Consider the following 26,268-nt stretch of genomic DNA (forward strand, 5'->3'; position numbering starts at 1 on the left):
GGTGATCTTGGTTCATTGCAACCTCCGCCTCTCAGGTTCAAGAGATTCTCCCACCTCAGCCTCCTGAGTAGCTGGGAGTACAGGCACACACCACCACGCCTGGCTACTTTTTGTATTTTTTTTTTTTTTTGAGACGGAGTCTCGCTCTTTCGCCCAGGCCAGACTGCAGTGGTGCTATCTCGGCTCACTGCAAGCTCCGCCTCCCAGGTTCACGCCATTCTCCTGCCTCAGCCTCCGGAGTAGCTGGGACTACAGGCACCCGCTCCCGCACTCGGCTAATTTTTTGTGTTTTTAGTAGAGACGGGGTTTCACCATGTTAGCCAGGATGGTCTCGATCTCCTGACCTCGTGATCCACCCGCCTTGGCCTCCCAAAGTGCTGGGATTACAAGCGTGAGCCACCGCGCCCGGCCAATTTTTGTATTTTTAGTAGAGATGGGGTTTCATCATGTTGGCCTGGCTAGTTTCTTTCTTTTCTTTTCTTTTCTTTTTTTGAGACAGAGTCTCCCTCTGTCACCAGGCTGGAGGCGTGATCTCGGCTCACTGCAACCTCCACCTCCCAGGTTCAAGCGATTTTCCTGCCTCAGCCTCTCGTGTAGCTGGGACTACAGGTGCATGCCACCATGCCCAGCTAATTTTTTGAATTTTTAGTAGAGACAGGGTTTCACCATGTTGGCCAGGATGGTCTCAATCTCTTGACCTTGTGATCTGCCCGCCTCGGCCTCCCAAAGTGCTGGGATTACAGGCGTGAGCCACCGCACCTGGCCAACACACTTTTACTTATTCATTTAAACATGTTTACAGGCATCTTCTTGGTGCCAGGCCCTGTACCAGGCTCTGGGCACACAGCAGTGACCACGAAGCTAGCAATCCAGTGTTTGGGCGTGGCTTCAGCTTCCTTCCAAGCTAAGGAAGGGGTTAGGGCTTTTGCCATGGGGGATTGGGCAGCCACTGAAGGCTCCCCAATGGGCAAAGTGAGCAAAGTGGTCAGGTCTGCGTGTGAAAAGGCGCGAGGAAGGGTGTTTGGGCCAATGGGCCCCAGTGCTAGGGGACCTGTGAGATTGCAACACAGGTAGGAACTGAGTCATCCTGCACAGGCAGTTTCCAGTCCCATTTCTGTACAGACAAGGACCCTGAAATTCAGGGAGGAAGAGTAATTTGCTCAGAGACCCATTATGAGGATGGGGGGTGGGGAGAACACTGCTGGGTAGACATGGGGTCAGGCGTTGTGCAAGACAGGCCCAGGGTAAGGGGGTTCTGGCGAATGTGAGAGGGAAGGTGAGAGACCATCTCTGGGGTCCACTCTGTGGGGTGTGGCTGAGATGCTGTCTAGCCGGGCGACCTGCCTACTTTCCAGCTGTGTGGCTTGGGGCAAGTTACTTAACCTCTCTGAGTCTCAGTTTTCTCACTTGTAAAACTGGAATAAAAATTGTACCTGCCTTGGCTGGGCACAGTGGCTCACACCTGTAATCCCAGCACTTCGGGAGGCTGAGGTGGGCGGATGACCGGAGGTCAGGAGTTCGAGACCAGCCTGGCCAACATGGCAAAACCCCAACTCTACTAAAAACACAAAATTAGTCGGGTGTGGTGGCACGCACCTGTAATCCCAGCTACTCGGGAGGCTGAGGTAGGAGAATTGCTTGAACCCAGGAGGCAGAGGTTGCAGTGAGCCAAGATCGCGCCACTGCAGTCCAGTCTGGGTGACAGAGCAAGACTCCGTCTCAAAAAAAAAAAAAAAAAAAAAAAAATTGTACCTGCCTCACAGGATCCTGTAAGATAATGAGCGTAGGGAGCTTGGGGCAATGCCTGGCACCTAGAATGGACCTGTTCCATGGGAGGGAATGGCAGCAGGTAGGCAGTGAAGGTGAGGGTAGGGCTGGCGGGCTGGAAGAGCCGGCTCCAAGGACTGAGAGGGTGGGGGAAGCTAGGGACAAAGGGGGAATTTTGTGAGATTTCCTGGTTGGAGCAGGAGAAGGTGGCTGGCCAGGGGGAGGTCAGGGAACCAGGGGGTCTCAGGTTGTCCACTGGGTGGGGAAGCCTCCCAGGCTTGGGGGAGGGGGTTCTAGGAGGGCTGTGGCCAGGGCCCGGAGGAGGGCAGGGCAGGGGCTGGGCGGGAGGTTCTATTCACCGTGCCTCCTACCCCAGTACTTGCGCTAGTGGCTGTCAGCCAGCCAGGCAGCAGTGCCTCATCGGACTTGTAGTTTTTCAGGGAGAGGTGGTGGCCAAGAGTGTCAGGAGGTGCAGTGCCCCTTGGGCAAGGCCTAGGTGCAGTTATTAAGCCAGGAAGGTAGTTTTCAGCAGCAAGGCTTGTAGGCTTGGTTTCCAAGGCAGGATTTGGCTGGCAGCTGGTCATGGGCAGCTGTCCCCGAAGCTTCATCCTGCCAGGCCCCCCATGTGGCAGAATGGTTTGGTCTCCCTCCCTCTGGGGCACACAGGCCAGAATGGGCCTCCCGTCTCCTTCCAAAGTGGTGCAGCCCAACCGCCAAAGGCCACAGGTCACCTAGCTGGCAGCATCCTGGCGCCCCCTGCCCCCCCAGCCCCCACTGTCAGCTCCTGACTTCCTGTCCCTCCAGCCCTCCGTGGCCTTTTCCCTGTAGCCAAGGTCTCTCACCCGACCCACCTCTGCTGAGCCTCTCTAGCTGTCTCGCTGTCACATGGCTGGGGTGGCAGCCCACCGGGCGCATCCACCTTTCACTGCGCACATGAAGAACCGTGGGCTCAGAGAGGTGACGGCACTTGCCCAACATGTGTCACCTACCGACTCCCAGCCCAGGGGCCTTCCTCATGCCCTGCCAGGCTTACAACACCCAGCTCTTTCATGCCCAATTTCAAGGGCCCCAGGCTTTGCTCCCATTTTATAGATGGGGAAGTAGAGCCCAAAGGCTTAATGATACGTGCCCAGGATGGCAGGTCAAGGACAGAAAGGCAGCTCTCTTGACTCTCAGGCCTCTGTCTCCGGCTGTCTCCTGCCCCCTTGCCCTGAGCCTGCTCTGCTTGCCCTCAGGAGCTGGAGAAAGCTGTGGTGCGGGGCAAGGAGTTGGGGGACCGGCTGGAGCATTTGCAGCGTGAGCTGGAGCAGGCGGCTCTCGAGCGCCAGGAATTTCTGCGAGAAAAGGAAAGCCAGCACCAGAGGTGGGGACAGGGCTGAGGGGAAGAATGAGGGAGGCAGGGGTGTGGTGGGGCGAGGGTGGGGTGGGGCTGGGTGCTAAGGATTCTCCTGGCAGGTACCAGGGCTTGGAGCAGCGGCTGGAAGCTGAGCTGCAGGCGGCGGCGACCAGCAAGGAGGAGGCGCTGATGGAGCTCAAGACCAGGGCCCTGCAGCTGGAAGAGGAGCTGTTCCAGGTGATGCCTGCCCGCCTGGGAGCTGGGGGCCATGCCACCCTGCCCTCCATCCCATGAGCAGATGCCAGGGTCATCTGTCCTCCTAGTCTTGCCTCTGGATTCTTGGCTAGCTACTTGCCTCACTCCCCATGTGGGGCCTGTTGGAGAGAGCACTGTGCTGGGAGTCAGGTGGCCGTGTTGACTTATCTGGGGTCTCATTTTCCCCATTCTGCACATGGACAGAACTTCTGCTGTGGATGACTGCTCCGCCTGTCTCACCCGAGGTCCTCCACTGCCTAGGGAGCTCAGTGTTTGGCATCAAGGAAGCCAGCGATGGTTTCTGATACCCAGGCTGTGTGCGGGCTCCACACGGAGGGTGGGGTGGTGGTGGGGCCCAATCCCAGGCTGCCATCCTCAGGGAGCTCACAGGACAGTCAGGATAGAGGCAAGAAAACAGGTGACAATAACTAGGTGCCAGGGGCTGTGAGGAGGCCATGCAGGGGCTTGGGAGGGTGGTACCCAGCAAGATACCCAGCAGGTGCATGCGAGTCTATCAGGGAAGGTTTTGTGGAGAAGGTGGGGTTGAAACAGAGGCTTAGAGAAGGCCCCACACAGCAGCTCATGCCTGTAATCCCAGCACTTTGGGAGGCCAAGGCAGGTGGATCACCTGAGGTCAGGAGTTCGAGACCAGCATGACCAATATGGTGAAACCCCATCTCTACTAAAAATACAAAAATCAGGCCGGGCGTGGTGGCTCACGCCTGTAATCCCAGCACTTTGGGAGGCCGAGGCAGATGGATCATGAGGTCAGGAGATCGAGAGCATCCTGATGAACACCGTGAAACCCCATCTCTACTAAAAATACAACAACAACAACAAAAATTAGCTGTTAGCTGGGCATGGTAGTGGGCGCCTGTAGTCCCAGCTACTCAGGAGGCCGAGGCAGGGGAATTGCTTGAACCTGGGAGGAGGAGGTTGCAGTGAGCCGAGATCACACCACTGCACTCCAGCCCGGGTGACAGAGTGTGACTCCGTCTCAAAAAAACCCAAAAAAACAAAAAAAACCCTAAAAATTAGCCAGGCGTGGTGGCCCACATCTGTAATCCCAGCTACTCGGGAGGCTAAGGCAGGAGAATTGCTTGAACCCGGGAGGCAGAGGTTGCAGTGAGCCCAGATCACACCTCTGCACTCCTGGCTGGGTGGCAGAGTGAGACTCTGTCTCAAAACAAAAACAAAAAACCAAATAGTCTTAGAGGAGTAGTGGGATGGAGAAGTGTTATGAGCAGAAGGCTCTGCCGCAGAGAGACAGAAGTTGAGAAGGGCAGGGTGGTGACGGTGGAGCTTCAGGAACCAGGAGCAGGGACTTGTGGGATCCAAGGGAAGGCATGGGATTGGGGCGGGGTGGACTAGGCTAAATGCTGCTGGCAGGGCAGGTCCATAAGCGCAGGTCCTTGAGGCATCCCCAAGGCACTGCGGCTGTCCCGCATGACCTCCCAGGGACTCTCCTTGCAGCTGCGCCAGGGCCCCGCGGGGCTGGGGCCCAAAAAGCGTGCGGAGCCTCAGCTGGTGGAGACCCAGAATGTGCGGCTTATTGAGGTGGAGCGCAGTGTGAGTGTGGGCCCACAGTGGGCCCTGGGGAGGTGCCCCGTGCAGTGTGAGTGTGGGTCCACGGTGGACCCTGGGCTGGGGGGTATCCCGTGCAGTGTGAGTGTGGACTCACAGTGGGCCCGGGGGTGGGGGTGCCCCATGCAGTGTGAGTGTGGGCCTGTGGTAGGCACTAGGGGGTGCCCCCGCCACCTGGCTATTGCTAACCCCCACTTCTGGGCAGAATGCGATGCTGGTGGCAGAGAAGGCAGCTTTGCAGGGGCAGCTGCAGCACCTGGAGGGGCAGCTGGGGAGCCTGCAGGGCCGTGCCCAGGAGCTGCTGCTGCAGAGCCAGCGGGCGCAGGAGCACAGCAGCCGCCTGCAGGTGGGTGGTGGCCCGGGTGCCCATCCCTGCCCATGTACTGCCCCCTCCTGCTCCTTTTGGATCATCCTGTGGCCTTTTTCTATCCCAGCTCCCAGCCAGCTGCCCCACCTCTTCCCCAGTCTCATTTATCCTTGTCCTCTGACCCCAGCCACCATTTTGCACCATCCTCCCTGCCACTATCTCCTCCTACCTGCCGCCAGCCCCCACATCTACACCCATGTCGCCCTGCGCTCTCACTGTCCCAGCCCTCCCCTCCACAGGGCGCCATTAGTCCCATTCTGCCCTGTGCCCCTTCCGGACAGCCTGGCCCAGCCAGCCTCTGCCGCCTCTCCCCTGCTCACCATCAGCCTCTGGCTGGGGCTTGTACTGCCTGCTGTGCCCCCAGCCCTTTGCCTCCTCCACAACTCTCTCATTGTCTTGGGCCCTACCGTCTGCCCTTAGCCCCCCGCCTCTCACTCGATTTCCAGCCAGGGGTTCCTCCCCAGCAGCCCCTGCTTCCCTCCTCCATCCTAGGCCGAGAAGTCTGTGCTGGAGATTCAGGGCCAGGAGCTGCACCGGAAGCTGGAGGTGCTGGAGGAGGAGGTGCGGGCGGCACGGCAGTCCCAGGAGGAGACCCGCGGGCAGCAGCAGGCCCTGCTTCGGGACCACAAGGCCCTGGCACAGCTGCAGCGGCGGCAGGAGGCCGAGCTAGAGGGACTGCTGGTGCGGCACCGAGACCTCAAGGCCAACATGCGGGCACTGGAGCTGGCCCACCGGGAGCTGCAGGGCCGGTGAGCATCACCAAATGCCCAGCTCCTCCCCTGGCACCCCCTATCTGCCAGAGAAGACTCCCCTCAGCAGGTCTGACTCCCCATCAGGAAGCACCTCCACCTCCGCTCTGTGATGCCCCGGCCACTGCTGTGCCCTCTGGGGTAGCTGTGCTCCCCACACTTCTGGGTTGGGCTCCCCGTGGGGCTCACCTATTGGGAGTGGTGGGCACCTGGCATGGCATTCTGCCCAATGGCTTCCTCTGGGGGACCTAGGCTTAGGAGGTGACAGACCCCCCCGCCCCGGGTCCAGATAGTCCAGCCAGCTGCTTGTGGTGGCCATAGGTTCACACAGCCCTCTTAGCCCCTTGTCCATCCCAGGCACGAGCAGCTGCAGGCCCAGCGGGCCAGCGTGGAGGCACAGGAGGTGGCCCTGCTGGCAGAGCGTGAACGCCTGATGCAAGATGGGCATCGGCAGCGGGGCCTGGAGGAGGAGCTGCGGAGGCTTCAGAGCGAGCACGACAGGTGCCGCCCCTGCCACAGCCTCTAGCAGCTCTCAGTGGCCCCATCCTGAAAGTGGGTTGGGGGTGTGGGGTCCTGTCTGGCCTCCCCTCCCCGGCATAACTTCTCTGGCCAGCACTCGGACTGGGGACCCAGGTCCCTTGGAGAGCAGCTCTCCTTGCCTCCCAAGGGCTCAGATGCTGCTGGCAGAGTTGTCTCGGGAGCGGGGTGAGCTGCAGGGTGAACGCGGGGAGCTACGGGGCCGGCTGGCGCGGCTGGAGCTGGAGCGGGCACAGCTGGAGATGCAGAGCCAGCAGCTGCGCGAGTCCAACCAGCAGCTGGACCTGAGCGCCTGCCGGCTGACCACGCAGTGTGAGGTGTGGCTGGAGGGCCGGTGGGGGTATGGGCGTGTGGTGGGGCAGAAAGCCTAGACCCAGGTGGTCCTGAGCTGGGTCCCACCCTCCGAGCCATGGTGCCCCCCTGCCAGCTATTGACACAGCTGCGAAGTGCCCAGGAAGAGGAGAACCGGCAGCTGCTGGCTGAAGTTCAGGCCCTGAGCCGGGAGAACAGGGAGCTCCTGGAGCGCAGCCTGGAGAGTCGGGACCACCTGCACCGCGAACAGCGGGAGTACCTGTGAGTGGGCCGCCTGGGAGCGGGGTGGGGCCTGCATCCCCTTTGGGCGTTCCTGGGGAGAGCCCTTAGTGAGGGCCTAGGGACAGGGTTGGAGCTGACCTTCCAGGTCAGTCCAATCTGCGGCACGGGACCAGTGCGTCCTCGCTGCAGCTTGTGCCTTGCTACTGCCTCGGCCTCCCTGGGCCTCACACCCACCTCTCCCTTCTCACTCCTGCCAGGGACCAGCTTAATGCCCTGCGCCGCGAGAAGCAGAAGCTCGTGGAGAAGATCATGGACCAATACCGCGTGCTGGAGCCTGTGCCCCTGCCCCGGACCAAGTGAGCAGCCCTGTCACCTCCCTCAGGCTGGACATCCTGCTAACCTCTGCCCCTGCCCTGGCCTCTGACCCCAGGCCCAGCTCAGGTCCAGGCCCCATGAAGGTCAACCTGGCCTTTGACATCCCCAGGACACCCTTTGCTCCCTCCCTCCTCCCTGTCCTGACCCCCTCTTGTGCCCTCTTGCCCCCAGGAAGGGCAGCTGGCTGGCAGACAAGGTGAAGAGGCTGATGCGGCCCCGGCGGGAGGGGGGCCCCCCTGGGGGGCTGCGCCTGGGGGCCGATGGGGCTGGCAGCACCGAGAGCCTGGGGGGCCCCCCGGAGACGGAGCTTCCTGAGGGCAGGGAGGCAGATGGGACAGGTGGGTCTGGGGGTCAGGTGGCCAGGATGGTCCCTGCCCCACATCCTCTGTCCCCCACCTTGGCACCTGCCTCACTGCCTGGCCTGCATGCGTGACCCCATTGGCCTTCCCTGAGGCCTGCCCCCCCTGCCCTGATGCCACCAGGGGCTCTTTTCCCTGGGTCCTACAGGGTCACCCTTGGCCCACACCTCCCTCCTGCCTGTGCTGTCCCCGACCCAGCCTGCCCCATCCGCAGCGGAGCCCAGGATCTGGGAGGTGCAGTGGACTCTAGGGAGAGGTCATTGTTCCTAGACTGCAGATGAGGAGACTGAGGCCCCGGGAGGGGAAGCTTTTGCCCAAGGTCATGCAGTGAGTTAGTATGAAGGCCAGCACAGGGCCAGTGTCCTGCTGCCCCACTCATTTGCCTGGCTTCTCCCCCACCTCTGCACCTCCCCTCCCTGGCCCTGGGCAGCTTCACCCACTGGCCCCTCTACTCCATCCAGGGCCCTGTTCCTCTGACCCCCTCCCTGCATGAGCCTCCGCCCCCCCCCTCTGACCCCTCCCCTGCATGAACCTCAGCCCCCTCTTCTGACCCCCTCCCTGCATGAGACTCAGTCCCCGTTCCCTTCCTCTGACCCCCTCCCTGCATAAGCCTCAGCCTCCCCCCCTCCTCTGACCCTCTCCCTGCATGAGCCTCAGCCTCCTCCCCTCCTCTGACCCCCTCCCTGCATGAGCCTCAGCCCCCACTTCCCTTCTCTGACCTCCTCCCTGCAGGAGCCTCAGCCCCCCCGCTCCCCTCGTCTGACCCCCTCCCTGCATGAGCCTCAGCTCCCTCTCCCCTCCTCTGGCCCTCTCCGTGCATGAGCCTCAGCCCCCACTTCCCTTCTCTGACCTCCTTCCTGCAGGAGCCTCAGCACCCCCTCCCCTTGTCTGACCCCCTCCCTGCGTGAGCCTCAGCCTCCCCCCATTCTCTGACCTCCTCCCTACAGGAGCCTCAGCTCCCGTCCCCTCCTCTCACCCCCTCCCTGCATGTACCTCTTGCAGGGTCCCCTTCCCCGGCACCCATGCGCCGGGCCCAGAGCTCCCTCTGCCTGCGGGATGAGACCTTGGCAGGCGGGCAGCGGCGGAAACTCAGCTCAAGGTTCCCGGTGGGGCGAAGCTCTGAGTCATTCAGCCCTGGGGACACCCCTAGGCAACGATTCCGACAGCGCCATCCAGGCCCCCTGGGGGCGCCCGTCTCCCACAGCAAAGGTGAGGGACAAGGGTCACTGTACCAGCCAGCCCCCCAACTCTTTGTGGACCCACCAGCTCCTTGGGGGAGGAGGCTTCCTTCTTGTCCCCTGTGTCTCCTGCAAGCTCTGTCCACTTCCGCACTGGCCCTGGGCCCAGTGGTTGCCTTGTGCCTCCCAGGACCTGGTGTGGGATGGGAGAACTCCGCTGAGACCCTGCAGGAACACGAAACAGATGCCAACCGAGAGGGTGAGTGGGGGACTGTGGAAGGAGTAGTATTCTTTGTCCTGCCTGGGGCCCCTGGCAGAACCTCATTCATCCATTCTTTCATTCGACAATGATCCTTTACCAAGTGCCAGGTGACGTGCTGGCAGGGGACACAGCAGGGAACGTTCTGGTGTGAGGAGGCAGATAGTAAACAATTTGCCTAAAAATAATTATTATCTACAACAGCCCTGTCCACTAGAAATATGGTGTGAACCACATGATAATTTTAACTTTTCCAGTAGGCTTACCAGAAAAAGTGAAAAGAGACAGGTACAATGGATTTTAATAACATTTAACTCAATATGCCTACGCTATTACCATTTCAGCATGTAGCCAGTGTAAAAATCATGAATGAGCTATTAGACGTGATGTTTTTTTTTTTTTTTTGAGATGGAATTTCACTCTTTGGCTCACTGCAACCTCCTCCTCCCAGGTTCAAACGATTCTCCTGGCTCAGCCTCCCAAGTAGCTGGGATTACAGGCATGGGCCACCACGCCAGGCTAATTTTGTATAATTATTATTATTTTTTTTAGTAGAGACGGGGTTTCACCATGTTGGTCAGGCTGGTCTCGAACTCCTGACCTCAGGTGATCCGCCCGCTTCAGCCTCCCAAAGTGCTGGGATTATAGGTGTGAGCCACCCAGCCAGACGTGATTTTTTTCATAGTAAGTCTTTGGCAGTTTCGGAGGCCAAGGCAGGCAGATCACTTGAGGCCAGAAGTTAGAGACCAGCCTAGCCAAAATGGTGAAATCCCGTCTCTACTAAAACTACAAAAATTAGCCAGGCATGGTGTCCCATGCCTGTAATCCCACCTACTCAGGGGGCTGAGGCAGGAGAATCGCTTGAACCTGGGAGGCAGAGGGTGCAGTGAGCCAAGATCACGCCATTGCACTCCAGCGTTGGTGACAGAGTGAGACTGTCTCAAAAACAAAAAACAAAAAACAAAAAAACATAGTAGGTCTTTGAAGCACGTCACAGGCCAACCCCATCTCACCTACTTAGCTCCGCCCTGGGCAGCTCAGCCCTAGACCCGGCTGGACCATCAGGAGGCGCTAATGCTCTGGGAAGAAAGGAGAGCAGGGGAGGGGTCAGGAGCTCAGGAGCTCTGGGCAGGCTGGTTGGAGTTTTAGTAACTGGGGTGCTGGGGTGGGCCTCAGAGAGGATGTGAAATTGGAGCAAAGACTTGGAGGGGAGAGTTTGTCGTGTGGACATACCTGAGAACAGCATTCTGGGCAGAGGGAACCGCTGAGGGAACAGCAGGCGTGGTGCAGCTGGAAGCGGGGGGTATTGGCAGGTCGGGGGTGGGCAGAAGGTGCTCGAGCCTGTGGGCCTCCTGGGACTCTGGGAGTCCTCCTGAGGGAAGCAGATCTCAGCTGAGCCTTTCCCTCTAGGCCCTGAGGTACAGGAACCGGAGAAACGTCCCCTCACCCCATCCCTCAGCCAGTGACACCGTGGGAACAGCAGGCTTGGGAGTGCAGCCTTCTCGGCACTGGAGTGTCAGCGGAGGCCCCAGGCAGCCCAAGAGCTCAGGGAGCCAGGGACCCCAAGGGGAGTCCTTGGACAAGGAGGCCTGGGCCCTGAGATCCTCCACGGTCAGCGCCGGGGCCCGGAGATGGAGCTGGGACGAGTGTGTGGACAGGGGGGATGGCTGGCCCCCACGAGCAGCTCCAGGCTGGAGTTCTGGTTCTTCCAGGTGGCTCCCGCTGAGGCAGCGGTCTCTGGGGGATCCCCCAGCTGAAGGAGGCTGGCAGGAGTTGGCAAGAGAACCCCCTGCCCTGTCCAGGTGGGAAGCTGAGTCCCAGTGCTGGGGGACTGTGGCCTGGGCTGATCTTGAGCCTTAACTGGACATGAGGGGCATGAGAATAAAGCTGAACTGCAGCCTCCTGAGTCTTGCTCTGTCTGTTGGCCGCACTGGGTACCTCAGGGCACCAGGACACATGCCGCCCCAGTCCTGCTGGTTGGTGGGGGTCTGTGGGCAGAGGGCCCCTGCCTGGACAGGGCAGCACAGGCCTTTCTCCAGGGTCTTGGCCAGTCCGGCCGGCCAAAGCCCGGATGTCCTGGTGAGGTGGAGAGGGGATGACATCCTGGGTAGCCAGCAGGGATTGGGGTCTAAGATCTGGGCTCAGGGGTGTGGGGCAGTGAAGCCCCTGTTGCCCCGCCCCCACCCTCTCCCAGGGCACTGTCTTCTCTCTGTTCACATCCTCCTCCTACTCATCTCCCCTCCCTCCTTGAGGTTGAGCCCCCTCCCCAGGGAGTTCTCAGCCTGGCGGGGCATCACTTAATGCCAGGGGTTGCCAGGAGAGGTGGGAGGGACGCTGGCTCTCTGACCAGGGCCTCTAGCCTGATGCCTGAGAGGCGGGGCAATTCGGCTGGGGTGCAGGATGTGAGTCAGGGTACCTGGGGCCACCCAGGGGAGGGTGGAGCTGCCCAGGGCTGAGATAAGGCAGCCTGAACTTGGGGGGTGCAGAGCTGGGAGGGACGGTCCGTCCGGCCTCCCAGGTGTGACCTGCAGCAGCTTGAGTTCCTCCTCCTCTCAGCCAGGGCTTCACAGGACAGGGGCGTGGGGTGGACACCCTGGCCTCTCCAGCTGGCAGAGGAGCTGAGAGCCCCTCCCACCGGCCTCAGGGTGTGGGGCCTCATGGCTGTCCCACTCTGCTAGGTGGCCCCATTGGTGGTCAGGAAGGGAAAGGCAGGAAGAAGACGGAGCAGGGGCTCAGGAGGACCAGTCAGCAGGGGCCCTGGGCCTCATGGGGAGAGGGGGCAGCCCCGTGTGGCACTGACATCTCTTCTTGAGGCCTGCTCAGGGCTCTAAGCTGGGTACTGCACCAGGCTAGGAGACAACAGGAGCAGAACACGTGAGGTGCGCATGGCACCTGGTGGGCTCTGCACGGTGACTGGGGGCTGAAGTGCTTCTGCAGGCACCCCCGACAGAAAGCTGGTCAGAAAACTGGCCACTCCTCTCCTTGCCATGGGGTCCCAGGCCGGGCTCCAGCCCCCTCTTGGTGATGAGGCTCCTCCTTGCAAAGGCCAGTCCTCTGGGGAGAGGGGCCCTGCTGGCCACCCCCAGGACGATGGAGTGGGGTGGGCTCCACTGCCTGAGAGTTGGGTGACTTCCAGGATCCAGACCCCCTCTCAGCCTGCCCAGCACCAGGCACCTCGTCCCCCACCTTGGGGCACAGACTCCTAATGTCCTCCAGCCACTGGCTGCAGCCGGCATTCCCGGGCAGATTCCTGGCTTGGGGACTAATGCCCCAGAGGCTCCAGGTTACCCACGGGCTCAGGGATGGCTCCCACGGGGTGTTTCCAGTTCCCGGGAGAGTCGAGTAAGGTCCCGGAGCGCACGGCCCTGAGGCCTGGCCTGGGGGCTCGGGAGACAGGGCGGCCCCAGCCGGCCGCCCACCGGCAGCCCGGCGCTGTCACGTTCCAGCCGCCTGACTCAGGCCGCGCAGGGCGGGGAGCCGGGAGGCGGTGCCGGCGCCCGCCTCGGCCCCGGAGGCGGCACCAGGAAGCGCCCGCCCCGGCCGGAGCCGCCATGTAACCGGCGCCGCCCGGAGCCCGAGCCGCGCGGGCCCCAGCGACCCGCCCGCCATGGGGGACGAGGACGACGATGAGAGCTGCGCCGTGGAGCTGCGGATCACAGAAGGTGGGTGTGGGGCCTGACTGCGGCTGCCCGGGGCAGGCCGGGACGGGTCATGGACCGGCTGGGCTCATTCGCCCCCTGTGCCCACAGCCAACCTGACCGGGCACGAGGAGAAGGTGAGCGTGGAGAACTTCGAGCTGCTCAAGGTGCTGGGCACGGGAGGTGAGGACCCCCATCCACCGGGCAGGCGTCCCAGGCGCGGTGCCCCTGACCTCCTGCCTGCTCACTCTTGGGCCTGGGCCAGGCCACTGAGCAGGCCCCCCACCCTTTCCCGGCACAGCCTGCCTTGCCTGCCCCGCCCTGCCTCGCCAGAGTTTGCATGCCCACTTCCAGGGCACTCCACATTGACATCACTCCTCCCTCCACGGTCCTGTGCGTGCATACCCCCCTGGATTTGCCAACACCCTGGGGAGGGGGACTGGCGCCCCTCTCAAGTGATTTGCATAGCTCCTCCCTTTCTTCCAATATGGGATCCCCCTCCCACATTTTGCAAATGCCCCAGCGCTGGTTTGCGCATCCCTTCCCCAGCCAGGTGCACACCTCTGCCTCCCTTCCTTGCACTGGCATCTTTTCACATCCATCTGATCTCTCGCAGGTTTGCATATGCCCCGCCCCCATGCCTCGCAGCAGGCCCCCTGGAGATGCATGCTCCCCAGCCTGGTTTGCACATCCTTTCCCTGGTTTTGCTGGGCACCCTCCCGGGGTGTGCACACCCTTTCCTTAGAAGGCTCTGCCAGCTTTTTGCACACCTGCCTGTTGCCCCAGCTCCTTCGCCTCATTTGCACACCCTCCTGGGTTGGCATCGCCCCCACCCCCCAAGCCTGCACCAATCTCCCGCTCACAGCCCACCCTCCACCCACTCGCTGCTCCCACAGCCTACGGCAAGGTGTTCCTGGTGCGGAAGGCGGGCGGGCACGACGCGGGGAAGCTGTACGCCATGAAGGTGCTGCGCAAGGCGGCGCTGGTGCAGCGCGCCAAGACGCAAGAGCACACGCGCACCGAGCGCTCGGTGCTGGAGCTGGTGCGCCAGGCGCCCTTCCTGGTCACGCTGCACTACGCTTTCCAGACGGATGCCAAGCTGCACCTCATCCTGGGTGAGCGCACACCACATCCCAACGGGGTTGGGGTGGCTGGGGGCAGGCGAGGCCACCTGACGGGGCTGCTTCCTGACTTCCACTGCACCTCCCAGACTATGTGAGCGGCGGGGAGATGTTCACCCACCTCTACCAGCGCCAGTACTTCAAGGAGGCTGAGGTGCGCGTGTATGGGGGTGAGATCGTGCTGGCCCTGGAACACCTGCACAAGGTGGGTGAAGACCTGGCCGCAGGCTGTTGCTATGGAAACTGGGTCTGTGCCTTGGAAGGAATCTGCACGCAGGGCAGCCTCAGGCTTCCCCCTGGGCTTCCTGGGGGGCCAGTGGTGAGCTGGGTGGGAATTGGAGCTGCTTCCCCTGGACCCCTTGCAGGAAGCCTCAACGTTGCCTGGTGGGGTCCCCTCCCCTGGCACCTCCTCGAAGGGGCTTTCCTCTTTCAGGGAACTCGGGGCTGCGTTCACAGAACTTCCTCAAATGGAAACCTCACGGCCTGGCTCCTAAGGCCTCCTTGAAATGGAGCTCTTCACACAGACTTTCCTCTCTCTGGGACCTTGGGGCCTGATCCACGGGGCCCTCCTTCTTTGTTTTATATCTTAAATGGCCTTTCTTATTCAGTGGCTCTGCCCTGGAGACCCCCTCTACAGGCAGATGACTTTCTCTGGGGGGTCTCCTTATCCTGAGCAGGGCCAGGAGCTGGAGGAGCTGGGGAGGGTTTCGGGGAGGAAGCCTCAGCACCCCTCTTGCTCCTACCAGCTCGGCATCATTTACCGAGACCTGAAACTGGAGAATGTGCTGCTGGACTCCGAGGGCCACATTGTCCTCACGGACTTCGGGCTGAGCAAGGAGTTCCTGACGGAGGAGGTGAGTGGAGGCCACCTCTGCCTGCAGTGCCCCATTCAATCCTTCTCCTTCCTGCCTCTTCCTGCTCTGGGCCTGCATTCTGGGGCTGCAGAAGTGAATAGCTCCAAGAAGTTTCCACAGCTCAGCTCTCCAACCTCACAAGTTGAGCGAGTCTTACTCTGGGCCTTGTGGGGCACTGGGGCACAGGAGAGGTTTCGACATCTAAGCAGGACCTCTTGCCCTCCCAGAAAGAGCGGACCTTCTCCTTCTGTGGCACCATCGAGTACATGGCCCCCGAAATCATCCGTAGCAAGACGGGGCATGGCAAGGTAGGTTGGCAGGGAAGTGGGGCTGGGGGAGGTGGAAAGGTGGGGTGTGAGGCAGGGGAGATGCAGGCCCTCACCCCGGCTCCACCCGGCAGGCTGTGGACTGGTGGAGCCTGGGCATCTTGCTCTTCGAGCTGCTGACGGGGGCCTCGCCCTTCACCCTGGAGGGCGAGAGGAACACGCAGGCTGAGGTGTCTCGGTGAGTAGGGCTGGACGTGGAGGGCGGCCAGAGGGCTGCAGGGCCTGCCTGGGCAGGGCTGTGGGTGGGGGGCTTGCTGCCCCTGACACCCCCCCAATCCTCCCAGACGGATCCTGAAGTGCTCCCCTCCCTTCCCCCCTCGGATCGGGCCCGTGGCGCAGGACCTGCTGCAGCGGCTGCTTTGTAAGGATCCTAAGAAGCGATTGGGCGCGGGGCCCCAGGGGGCACAAGAAGTCCGGAACCATCCCTTCTTCCAGGTGAGGCTGACTCAGGGCCCCATACCTCCTGGTGCATACCCAGGTGGGGCTGCTGTTCCAGGTTGAGGTTGTGCCTGGCCAGTTTCACTTTATTTGGAAATCCCCCCAGAGAAAGAAAGCAAGTGTGTGTCAGCTAGGTTTCTCTTCACATCCATCCCCACTGAAACTTGGCAGATGTGTTCCTGAAAGAAAGGATTCTAGGTTCATTGGCTGTTGGGGCTGTCAGGGATTTGAGAATGGATTGGTCGGTCCTTTCACTGGACAGACCCAGAGAAGGCAGGTGACCTGCCCCCGACGGCACAGTAAATGGTGCCGAGTTGGGAATAGACCTTGGGTCTAGATAGATCTCCTGCTGGTCCAAATCAGTACGGAAACCCACACTTATGGCTTTTAGCACCCACCCAGGCATTTTGTTCTTTGTCCCCGTCCCTGTACAGTCTGTGTGCCTGTCATTCAGATGGACGGTTGATCAGCACACATGGGTGTTTGCTCACTTGTTAGGAGCACACACATGTTAGAGTGCAGTGCAGAGTGAATCTGGCCATGCGAGAATGCACTGACTCAGGGGCTGGGCCTGGCCAGCGTCATCGCCCAGCAGGACTTTGTAACAGTCAATACCTACTGTGTGTCGGCCCTTTGCGGACATGAACTCATTTCACCCTCACAACTACCTGATTCTTATTTTTTAGACGGAGTTTCACTTTGTCTTCTGGGCTGGAGTGCAGTGGCACGATCTCGGCTCAGTGCAACCTCCACCTCAGGGGTTCAAGCGATTTTCCTGCCTCAGCCTCCCAAGTAGCTGGGATTACAGGCACAGGCCACCACGACTGGCTAATTTTTATATTTTTAGTAGAAACGGGGTTTCACCATGTTGGCCGGGCTGGTCTTGAACTCCTGACCTCAAGTGATCCACCTGCCTCATCCTCCCAAAGTGTTGGGATTACAGGTGTGAGCCACCACGCCCTGCCACAACCACCTTGATTTTTGTCCCCATCTTTACAGATGAGGAAGCTGAGGCTCCAAACAATTAAGTACTTTGTCCAGGAAGTGATGGAGCTCAGATTCAACCCAAGGCTGAGAGGCTTGAATGCCTGTGCTTAATGGTCTTCTGCTTAAGTGTAGGCATCAGATTTGCCATCCGTCTGACATCTAAACAAAAGCACCCATTTCTGGGTACTTATTGTGGGCCAGGTACTGTGTTACTCATACTTCGAGTGCCATCTCTTTGAATCTTCCAAGCCCTGGGAGGGCCTGCCTGAGATGATTTCTTACATAGGAATCTATGTCTTTGAGGTGAAGATGTCCCTTTGCACGGGGTGGGGAAAGCATCTGAGCAGTGTTGGTTTCTTTCAGTGAATTCCGTAAGCCCACCCTTCACCTATGCTGGGTGCTGCGCTGGATACTGGAGTGGGTTGACCAGTCATACAGGAGAGGCCCCAAGGTCTTCAAGGCCTGATGTGTGGAAGGGTGTTTCCCTCCTTCTGTCTTTTCTTTTTCTTTTCTTTTTTTTTGGAGACAGAGTCTTGCTCTATTTCCCAGAGTGCAGTGGCATGATCATGGCTCACTGCAACCTCTGCTTCCCTGGTTCAAGTGATTCTCCTGCCTCAGCCTCCCGAGTAGCTGGGATTACAGGTGCGCACCATCATGGCCAGCTTATTTTTGTATTTTTAGTAGAGTCAGGGATTCACCATGTTGGCCAGGCTGGTCTCAAACTCCTGGTCTCGTGATCTGCCCGCCTTAGCCTCCCAAAGTGCTGGGATTACAGACACATGAGCCACCACGCCTGGCCTCCTTCTGCTTTTTCTTGGACAGCTTCTTTGGTGAGAGCAGTGCTCAGGTCCTTGGTGGTAGAACTGGAGCCTTCCAGCTTGAGTCAGTCATCTTGGCTACATCGACAAAAAGTCCAACTCAAAATGGTGATATCTGTTGGAATCAAGTTTGGTGCTAGCCACAGAGATCAGAATGAACAGAGTGACCTAAGAGGTTTACTTATAAGTAAACCTTTTATTATACTTACTTATAAATAAGTGGCTTACTTATTTTTCTTTTCACATAAAAGAAGTCCAGATTAGCAGACCAGGGCTGCCGCAGTGTCTTCACAGTGCCACATTGTCTTCAGGAATCCAAACTCTTCCTCTTCTTTTTTTTTTTTTAATTTTTTTTTTATTCTTAGCAAGTAGCTTCTATCCCTGGGGTTGCTTCATGGTCCAACATGGTTGCTGGAGCTCTTGCCATCTAAGCTGTCTCCCAGGTAGGGAGCAGGAGGAAGGAGAAGGGGCAAAAGGAGCACATGCCACCTAGCAACCTCCCTCTTCAGGATCTGTTCCTGGAATCCTACCTAATAATTTTTTTCTGATAAGTTTTGGTCACCCCTAACTGCAAGCAAGTTTGTAAAAATATTCTTTTAATTGTGTATATTGGTTCGTGGAATAAAACTGGGGCTATGGTACTAAGGAAGACAGGGAGAATGGATATTGAGCAGGCAATCAACAGATTCTGCCGCATTAGCTTAAACATAAATGGGCATGTTTTGGCTCTCATAAGTGAAAAGGTCGAGGGAAAGTGGTCTGACTTAAGGCAAGACCACATCCAGGTGCTGAAACTATGTCCCTTGGTTCTGCTTTTTCTGCATGGGGACTTCATCTAACCCTGAGAGGGTCCCCAGCAGTTCCAGACCACATCCTCTTAGATTTAAGTCCAGCAGGAGAAAGAGATTTGTTTTTCACGCCAACTCTTTTTTTTTTTTTTTTTTTGAGATGGGGTTTTCGCTCTTGTCGCCCAGGCTGGAGTGCAGTGGCGCTATCTTGGTTCACTGCAACCTCTGCTTCCTGGGTTCAACTGATTCTCCTGCCTCAGCCTTCTGAGTAGCTGGGATTACAGGTGTGCACCACCACGCCCAGCTAATTTTTTTTTTTTTTTTTTGTATTTTTAGTAGAGATGGGGTTTCACCATGTTAACCAGGCTGGTCTTGAACTCCTGACCTCAGGTGATCCAGCTGCCTTGGCCTCCCAAAATCCTGGGATCACAGGCATGAGCCACCACGCCCGACCTTTTCACACCAATTCTATTAAAAGTTCCAGAACTGACTAAGTGTGGTGTCATGGTGGTTCTCTAAGGGGAATAGGGATTGTGTTACCAGAGGGAGAGAGAAGCCAGGGAGGCAGGAGGAACAGCTGCCCACCCCAAATGCCAGATGGGCCCTTGCCTCATGGAGGAACTGCCCAGTGAGGGTGGGCTGAGTGGAGGGAGTTTCTCGTTCCTGGCCTTTGACACCTGACCTCTGATTCCCTTCCCTCAGGGCCTCGATTGGGTGGCTCTGGCTGCCAGGAAGATTCCAGCCCCATTCCGGCCCCAAATCCGCTCAGAGCTGGATGTGGGCAACTTTGCGGAGGAATTCACTCGGCTGGAGCCTGTCTACTCACCCCCTGGCAGCCCCCCACCTGGGGACCCCCGAATCTTTCAGGTGAGGGGAAACTCATGGAACCCAGATGCAGGAGAGATGAGATGTTGCTGTCTGCCTCAGCCCTGGCTGGCCCGAGGACACTGCCTAGGCCTTGTGTCCTGATTGGGACTCAGCGTCTCCCCTAGACGTCGCCACTTCAGTGGGACCTAGGGTTGTCAGTCACAGAGACCACCCAGGCAGGATGTGTGTTTGATAGTTCATGGTTTATCTTTAAACCTTCTGTTAATTTCCCTTCTATTCCATCATCTCTTTATTGTTATGTAAAAATATTGTTTGAAATTATTCACTTGCGGCTGGGTGTGGTGGCTCACACCTGTAATCCCAGCACTTTGGGAGGCTGAGGCAGGTGGATCACTTGAGGTCAGGAGTTCGAGACCAGCCTGGCCAACATGGGGAAACCCCGTCTCTACTAAAAATACAAAAATTAGCTGGATGTGGTGGTATGCGCCTGTAATCCCAGCTACTCGGGAGGCTGAGGTGAGAGAATCCCTTGAACCTGGGAGGCGGAGGTTGCGGTGAGCAGAGATCACACCATTGCATTCCAGGTTGGGCGACTGAGTGAAACTCCGTCTCAAAAAAAAAAAAAAAGAGATCTTCACTTTCTCACGTGGACACCTAGGAGGAGATGCATGTTGATATTGTGGCTTTGCATGCCCTTGGCATAGCATGGTACACTCCTGGAGGGTCAGGTCCCCTCCACCGAATTTTTTTTTTTTTTTTTTTTGAGACGGAGTCTCACTCTGTCTCCAGGCTGGAGTGCAGTGGCTAGATCTTGGCTCACTGAAATCTCTGCCTCACGGGTTCAAGCAATTCTCCTGCCTTAGCCTCCTGAGTAGTTGGGACTACAGGCGTGCGCCACCACACCCAGCTAATTTTTGTATTTTCAGTAGAGATGGGGTTTCACCATGTTGGCCTGGATGGTCTCAATCTCTTGACCTTGTGGTCCGCCCACCTCGGCCTCCCAAAGTGCTGGGATTAGAGGCATGAGCCACCATGCCAAGCCCCCTCTACTGAATTTTAGAAGCTTACACCTTTTGGACAAGTCCAAACTCCCTTTGCTTGGGCATTGAGGCCCTTCATGATGTGGTCCTTGCTTAGAACCTTAGCCTCAGTTCTCATCATTTTCCTACTTGATGCTCTGGAGGGCATGATCGAACTGCTCAGAGGTTCCAGAATATACCTCTGTGCCTTTGCACTTGCTGCTCCTGCTACCTGGAGTACATTCTCTACAGCAGTCTACATGGCAAGCTTCTACCCCTCTTTTAGGCCTCCTTGTCTGCTCACCTGGCCCAGGGGGTCACCCTTTCTTTGTGCTGCAGTCCTCTGTGGACAGCATCTCCTTCTGTGCAGTTTATCATGTTGCCATAATGATATTATATCATTATCACTAAATAAACCAGTATGGTTTGTTTAATAGACAGACCAAGTATGGCTGGATAAGTCCCTTCTCTGAAGCTCTTAGAATTGACAACTCTGTGCTTGAATGTCCACATTCCATTCCATTGTCTCACAGCCCTCATGATAAAGTTCTTTCTCTTGAATTGGTAGGTACTTTCATTCATTCATTTAATGATTCAAAAATGTGTAGTGAGTGCCTAAAATATTCCAGGTACGGATCTGGGTACTACATTTTTAGGAGAAGATGACACATAGTTTATTTTTAAAATTATTTTTTAAAATTAATTAATTAATGTTTTAGAGACAGGATCTTGTTCTGTGGCCCAGGCTGGAGTGCAGTTGGGCAACCATGGCTCACTGCAATCTTGAACTCCTGGGCTTGAGTGATCCTCCCACCTCAGCCTGCCCAATAGCTAGGACTACAGGCAAGTGCCACCACTCCCAGATAATTAATTTTTTTTTTTGAGACGCAGTTTCGCTCTTGTTGCCCAGGCTAGAGTGCAATGGCATGATATCGGCTCACCGCAACCTCTGCCTCCCGGGTTCAAGCGATTCTCGTGCCTCAGCCTCCCGAGTAGCTGGGATTACAGGCATGTGCCACCACGCCTGGCTAATTTTTGTATTATTAGTAGAGATGGGGTTTCTCCATGTTGGTCAGGCTGGTCTCAAACTCCTGACCTCAGGTGATCTACCTGCCTCAGCCTCCCAAAGTACTGGGATTACAGGCGCAAGCCACCGTGCCTGGCCACAACACGCAATTAAAATGACCCTTAAAAGCTCCTCAAATTGCCAGGACATGGATCTTTAGGAAAAGCAAAGAATTAACTCTGCCTTCTTTTTGCATTTCTTCAGTAGCTCCCCTTGCAGAAGAAGCCAAAGTCCGGCTTGAAAGGGAGGAATAAGTTTTTTTTCCTCAGCGGATAGAGTTGGATTCTCATAAGCTAAGCGTGAACTCAGGCCACACTTTCAATATATTCATTGGTCCTTTCAGTGCCTTCAGCCCTTGGCACCTGGGGAGGAATAAGTGGTCACTCTGATGAGAAAGTTGGGGTCACAGGCTGGTGGGGACAGACATGGCCCCAAGTGATTATAAAACCAGGTGGAATAAAAAGTGTCCACACATCCTGTGTGTACCAGAATGCAACTGGAACACCCCCCACTGCCCCCTTGTCCAGGGTCTTGCCTTTGCCTGGTTCCCCACCAGAGTCTCCTCACCCGCACCCCCAACCCCCATGCCCATGCCCATTCCCCGGACTCCCGCCCTGCAGGGATACTCCTTTGTGGCACCCTCCATTCTCTTTGACCACAACAACGCGGTGATGACCGATGGGCTGGAAGCGCCTGGTGCTGGAGACCGGCCAGGTCGGGCAGCGGTGGCCAGGAGCGCTATGATGCAGGTGGGCTGGGCTGGGCTGGGTTGGGGGGAAATTGGTTTTAGGAGAGGCCTAGGCCCGGGGACTCTAGGCCTAGATCCAACTGGCGCCCGCAGCGTGAGCTCAGCAAGGTCCTAAGCCTCTCCGACATGGGGCGTGGCGGGGCCGCGGGGCTACCAGGTGGGACCTCTGACGCGCCGCCTTCGCCTTCGCCTTCGCCTTCGCCTCCAGGACTCGCCCTTCTTCCAGCAGTACGAGCTGGACCTGCGGGAGCCTGCGCTGGGCCAGGGCAGCTTTTCTGTGTGTCGCCGCTGCCGCCAGCGCCAGAGCGGCCAGGAGTTCGCAGTCAAGATCCTCAGTCGCAGGTGGGAGGGCCCAGGCGCGGGCAGGGGTGGGGGTGGCAGAGCGCTGTCCCGGGGGCGGGGCCGAAGCGCGGCGACCGTAACTCCTTCTGCTCCGTCCCCCAGGCTGGAGGCGAACACGCAGCGCGAAGTGGCTGCCCTGCGCCTGTGCCAGTCACACCCCAACGTGGTGAATCTGCACGAGGTGCATCACGACCAGGTGATGGCTTCCGGCCAGGGGAGGGCGGAGAGAAAAGGGGCAGGCGGCGGGGCTTGGGGGCACTATGGGCGGGATCTAGGGGTGAATTGGGCGGGGCCTAGCGTTTGATTCGGGGCCCAAAGGGACCAGGGAGGCGCAGGGAGTGGAATTTGAGGGGAGTAGGGCCTGAGGACGGGAAGGCGGAGCTGAGGATGGACAAGAAAAGGGACTTTGGCCGGGCGCGATGGCTCACGCCTGTGATCCCAGCACTTTGGGAGGTCGAGGTGGGCGGATCACTTGAAGTCGGGAGTTCGAGACCAGCCTGGGAACATGGCGAAACCCCGTCTCTACGAAAAATACAAAAATTAGCCGGACGCGGTGGCGTGCGCCTGTAATCCCAGCTACTTGGGAGGCTGAGGCACGAGAATCGCTTGAACCCGGAAGGCAGAGGTTGCAGTGAGCCGAGGTGGTGCCACTGCATTCCAGCCTGGGCGACAAAGCGAGACTGTCTCCAAAAAAGTAACAAAGAAAGAAAGAAAGAAAAAGGACTTTGAGGAGGGGGTTCTCGAACATTGGCAGGGCCCGAAGGCCGGGGGCGGGGCCTGGGTGGTGGGAGGGGGCTTGCCGCCGTGGGTGGGTGTTGACCTTGGCCCGCCACGCCGCCCGCAGCTGCACACGTACCTGGTCCTGGAGCTGCTGCGGGGCGGGGAGCTGCTGGAGCACATCCGCAAGAAGCGGCACTTCAGCGAGTCGGAAGCAAGCCAGATCCTGCGCAGCCTCGTGTCGGCCGTGAGCTTCATGCACGAGGAGGCGGGCGTGGTGCACCGCGACCTCAAGCCGGAGGTGGGCGAGCTGCCTCGGCGGCGGGGCGGAGCGGTGGCGCCGGGGGCTGCCTCTGACCACTACCCCGCCGCCCTCGCAGAACATCCTGTACGCCGACGACACGCCCGGGGCCCCGGTGAAAATCATCGACTTCGGGTTCGCGCGGTTGCGGCCGCAGAGTCCCGGGGTGCCCATGCAGACGCCCTGCTTCACGCTGCAGTACGCTGCCCCCGAGCTGCTGGCGCAGCAGGGCTACGACGAGTCCTGCGACCTCTGGAGCCTGGGCGTCATTCTGGTATGGGACGCGGTCCTTGAGGCGGGGTCAGGGTCGCTCGGACCTGGCGTCTTCCTGATGTGCAGCAGCACGAGGGAGGGGACAGGGGTCATCTTGGTGGGGGCGGCTGGGTTTCGTCCGAAGCTGGGATCGGGGTGGTTCAAATACAGAGGTGGGGTCGCTCTGGTGCTAGAGTCGGAGCATCCGGGTATTGGGGGTTAGAAGTCAGGGTTCACCACGCGTGGGTCTCAGGAGTGCCCCTAGTGGGGAGGGTGAGTGGTTCTGTGGGAGCGGAGGGGTCAGCCTCGGCACCCCAGCCTGGGCCGGCCTCACCTTCCCCTCACCCTCCTAGTACATGATGCTGTCGGGGCAGGTCCCCTTCCAGGGGGCCTCTGGCCAGGGCGGGCAGAGCCAGGCGGCCGAGATCATGTGCAAAATCCGCGAGGGGCGCTTCTCCCTTGACGGGGAGGCCTGGCAGGGTGTATCCGAGGAAGCCAAGGAGCTGGTCCGAGGTGCGGAGCTGGAGGTCATAGACCATGGTTGGGGAGGGGGACGCTGGGACAGGGATGGTCACTGGGCCAGGTGTCCTGGTTGGGGATGGGTAGGGGAGGAGAGTGGGGCTGTTACGATCTCTTTGGGGCTCAGCCTTTACGCCAGGCTCCTCCCCACACTTCCTTGCCCCGCCTCCAGGGCTCCTGACCGTGGACCCCGCCAAGCGGCTGAAGCTCGAGGGACTGCGGGGCAGCTCGTGGCTGCAGGACGGCAGCGCGCGCTCCTCGCCCCCGCTCCGGACGCCCGACGTGCTCGAGTCCTCTGGGCCCGCAGTGCGCTCGGGTCTCAACGCCACCTTCATGGTAAGGGGCAGGGTCTGTTGAAGGGAAGGGGTGGGCGAAGCCTCGAGAGGTGGGGTCTGGGGAGGCCCGGCCATCGGAGCACAGAAAGGCGAGGTGAGGCCGGGCGCGGTGGCTCACGCCTGTAATCCCAGCGCTTTGGGAGGCCGAGGCGGGCGGATCACGAGGTCAGGGGTTCGAGACCAGCCTGAACAACATGGTGAAACCCCGTCTCTTCTAAAAAGAGAAAAATTAGCCGGGTGTGGTGGCGCGCGCCTGTAATCCCAGCTACTCAGGAGGCTGAGGCAGGAGAATCTCTTGAACCCAGGAGGCGGAGGTTGCAGTGAGCTGAGATTGCACCACTGCACTCCAGCCTGGGCGACAGAGGGAGACTCCGTCAAAAAAAAAAAAAAAAAAAAAAAAAGGGAGGTGAACCGAATCCGGTGGTCGGTCTGGAGGCCAAGGCCCTGTCGGCCTTGACCTAGGCGGCTGGAGGCAAGGTCTGGGAATGGAGGTCAAACTAGATCTGGAAGCCGGGGTCAGGCGGGGGTGGGGGCACTCACCCTTTCCTTTCTGCCAGGCATTCAACCGGGGCAAGCGGGAGGGCTTCTTCCTGAAGAGCGTGGAGAATGCACCCCTGGCCAAGCGGCGGAAGCAGAAGCTGCGGAGCGCCACCGCCTCCCGCCGGGGCTCCCCTGCACCAGCCAACCCGGGCCGAGCCCCCGTCGCCTCCAAAGGGGCCCCCCGCCGAGCCAACGGCCCCCTGCCCCCCTCCTAATCCCCACCACTGTGACCCCCTTCCCTCATAGGGGCTGTGACCTGGGAGCCCGGCTCACTCCCGGAGGCCTCTGCCTGCGGCTGACCTGATCCCCAAGGGACTGTCCTTTCCTCTCCTACCCCACCCCACTCCCAGACAGAGCAGAAGTATTTTTATAAGCAGAGAATTTTTTATGTCTTACCAGATAGAGTTGCAGGGAAGGGGGGGCCTGCTGGGGAGTGGGGTTTGGGGGGCCCTCTCCCAGGACACTGCCTCTTCTGGGCAGAAGGCCCCTCCAGGGGGACTGCTCCAACAGGAAAGAGCCCCTCCCCCACTTCTAAGCACTGAGTTAGGAGTGCTAACTCCTAAACTGGGACCCCCTACCCTGTTCTCCCCTGAGGCCCCGTTCCTGGGAGGGGCACCCCTCAACTGTCACTTTATGGACTGTCTGTGCAATTACGTCCACCAAAGACCCGTGTTGGGGGTACTGAAGGAGAGGCCCTGGGGGACCCTCTGAAGCATTTCTGCCTCACTTTATGTCATCTGCTTCTCCCCTGTTGGGGCTAAGGAAGGAGATAGGTGGCTCCTAAAAGAGGAGGCCATCTTCTCACCCACCCCTTCCTCTTTGGCACAGCTACTCCTGGCTGGGGGTGGGGCCTTGGGGGTCTGGGCTGGGCATCCATGGTCACTGCCTCAGCCCAGCCAGGCTGTGCCTTTGACTTTAAAATAAAAGTCCACCCAGTGCTGTGTGTGGCATCTGCGTGTCCTCGTTCGTGTTGTGGGTGTCTAGAGCAGAGATTCTGGGCAGACAGGCTGCTAGCCCGTGGAGTTTGGAACCTCAGTGGGGAGGGACAGGCAGACTCTTCTGGGCAAGAAGATATTCTTTGTTCCTTGACTTTTGCTATGAGCAGGAGGGCGCAACTCTCATCCTGGGTGTATATCCGGACAGCTCTGCTGGGTATCATTTAGGATATTCTTGGTTGTAAATACAGCTGCTGCTTGACTTAGGGTGGACCTACATCCCGATAAACCCAACCTGAATAGAAAATGCTGAAAGCCGAAAATACATTTAATGTCTGCAACACAGCAGACGGTGCCTGACTTAGGATTGTTTGATTTACCGGCTTTCAGCTTTAC

At 58.8% G+C, this 26,268-nt stretch overlaps 2 protein-coding genes and 1 non-coding gene across 9 annotated transcripts in view, besides 5 other annotated features; all 3 read left to right on the forward strand.

The window, feature by feature from the left end:
* The window catches only part of CCDC88B (coiled-coil domain containing 88B), a 17,331-nt gene extending 6,125 nt beyond the window's left edge, over positions 1-11,206 (forward strand). Inside the window, exons 15-27 of the mRNA NM_032251.6 lie at positions 3,003-3,130; positions 3,223-3,340; positions 4,832-4,927; positions 5,148-5,288; positions 5,802-6,058; positions 6,416-6,559; positions 6,726-6,912; positions 7,023-7,168; positions 7,387-7,485; positions 7,676-7,842; positions 8,866-9,072; positions 9,232-9,300; positions 10,711-11,206. Coding sequence (NP_115627.6) covers positions 3,003-3,130; positions 3,223-3,340; positions 4,832-4,927; positions 5,148-5,288; positions 5,802-6,058; positions 6,416-6,559; positions 6,726-6,912; positions 7,023-7,168; positions 7,387-7,485; positions 7,676-7,842; positions 8,866-9,072; positions 9,232-9,300; positions 10,711-10,766 — 1,815 coding nt within the window. The 3' untranslated portion in view covers positions 10,767-11,206. The remainder of the gene's footprint in view (positions 1-3,002; positions 3,131-3,222; positions 3,341-4,831; positions 4,928-5,147; positions 5,289-5,801; positions 6,059-6,415; positions 6,560-6,725; positions 6,913-7,022; positions 7,169-7,386; positions 7,486-7,675; positions 7,843-8,865; positions 9,073-9,231; positions 9,301-10,710) is intronic.
* Positions 12,620-13,109: a silencer, noted in NCBI's record as "silent region_3480". NCBI's record gives its function as "represses an Ori minimal core promoter by ATAC-STARR-seq in GM12878 lymphoblastoid cells {active_cell/tissue: GM12878}" and the evidence as "EXISTENCE:reporter gene assay evidence [ECO:0000049][PMID:35858748]".
* Positions 12,620-13,386: a biological region, named in NCBI's record as "H3K27ac-H3K4me1 hESC enhancer GRCh37_chr11:64126659-64127186".
* On the forward strand, positions 12,834-25,887 carry RPS6KA4 (ribosomal protein S6 kinase A4). 7 transcript variants are annotated; one of them, NM_003942.3, is made up of 17 exons: positions 12,834-12,962; positions 13,050-13,121; positions 13,835-14,053; positions 14,149-14,264; positions 14,806-14,913; positions 15,141-15,221; positions 15,314-15,417; positions 15,524-15,674; positions 18,973-19,137; positions 21,804-21,932; positions 22,140-22,273; positions 22,376-22,469; positions 23,118-23,291; positions 23,371-23,565; positions 23,897-24,056; positions 24,235-24,398; positions 24,955-25,887. In NM_003942.3, the coding sequence occupies exons 1-17, from the start codon at positions 12,908-12,910 to the stop codon at positions 25,150-25,152; spliced, it is 2,319 nt and encodes a 772-aa protein (NP_003933.1). In that variant the 5' UTR covers positions 12,834-12,907; the 3' UTR covers positions 25,153-25,887. The 7 variants fall into 7 exon arrangements, with proteins under 7 accessions (NP_003933.1, NP_001006945.1, NP_001287731.1 ...); NM_001006944.2 differs by having other exon boundaries at positions 22,158-22,273; NM_001300802.2 differs by having other exon boundaries at positions 22,161-22,273.
* Positions 12,859-13,386: an enhancer, noted in NCBI's record as "H3K27ac-H3K4me1 hESC enhancer chr11:64126659-64127186 (GRCh37/hg19 assembly coordinates)". NCBI's record gives its function as "activates a minimal SCP1, AML or CMV promoter by ChIP-STARR-seq in naive and primed H9 embryonic stem cells {active_cell/tissue: H9 hESC(naive and primed)}" and the evidence as "EXISTENCE:reporter gene assay evidence [ECO:0000049][PMID:30033119]".
* Positions 14,120-14,229: an enhancer, noted in NCBI's record as "active region_4902". NCBI's record gives its function as "activates an Ori minimal core promoter by ATAC-STARR-seq in GM12878 lymphoblastoid cells {active_cell/tissue: GM12878}" and the evidence as "EXISTENCE:reporter gene assay evidence [ECO:0000049][PMID:35858748]".
* On the forward strand, positions 22,274-22,375 carry MIR1237 (microRNA 1237). Its single transcript, NR_031602.1, has one exon. It is a non-coding gene; the product is annotated as a microRNA 1237 (primary transcript).
* Positions 22,831-23,350: an enhancer, noted in NCBI's record as "H3K27ac-H3K4me1 hESC enhancer chr11:64136631-64137150 (GRCh37/hg19 assembly coordinates)". NCBI's record gives its function as "activates a minimal SCP1, AML or CMV promoter by ChIP-STARR-seq in naive H9 embryonic stem cells {active_cell/tissue: H9 hESC(naive)}" and the evidence as "EXISTENCE:reporter gene assay evidence [ECO:0000049][PMID:30033119]".
* Positions 25,888-26,268: the final 381 nt, after the last annotated feature.

The sequence above is a fragment of the Homo sapiens genome, chromosome 11 (genome assembly GCF_000001405.40).
Source record: "Homo sapiens chromosome 11, GRCh38.p14 Primary Assembly".
Taxonomy (NCBI): domain Eukaryota; kingdom Metazoa; phylum Chordata; class Mammalia; order Primates; family Hominidae; genus Homo; species Homo sapiens.

Coding starts and splice junctions, on each gene's coding strand:
- RPS6KA4 (NM_003942.3), top strand. CDS start 12,908: ATGGGGGACGAGGACGACGATGAGAGCTGCGCCGTGGAGCTGCGGATC. Junction 15,222..15,313: donor GCAAGACGGGGCATGGCAAG/GTAGGTTGGCAG, acceptor TCCACCCGGCAG/GCTGTGGACTGGTGGAGCCT. Junction 19,138..21,803: donor GGGACCCCCGAATCTTTCAG/GTGAGGGGAAAC, acceptor CCCGCCCTGCAG/GGATACTCCTTTGTGGCACC.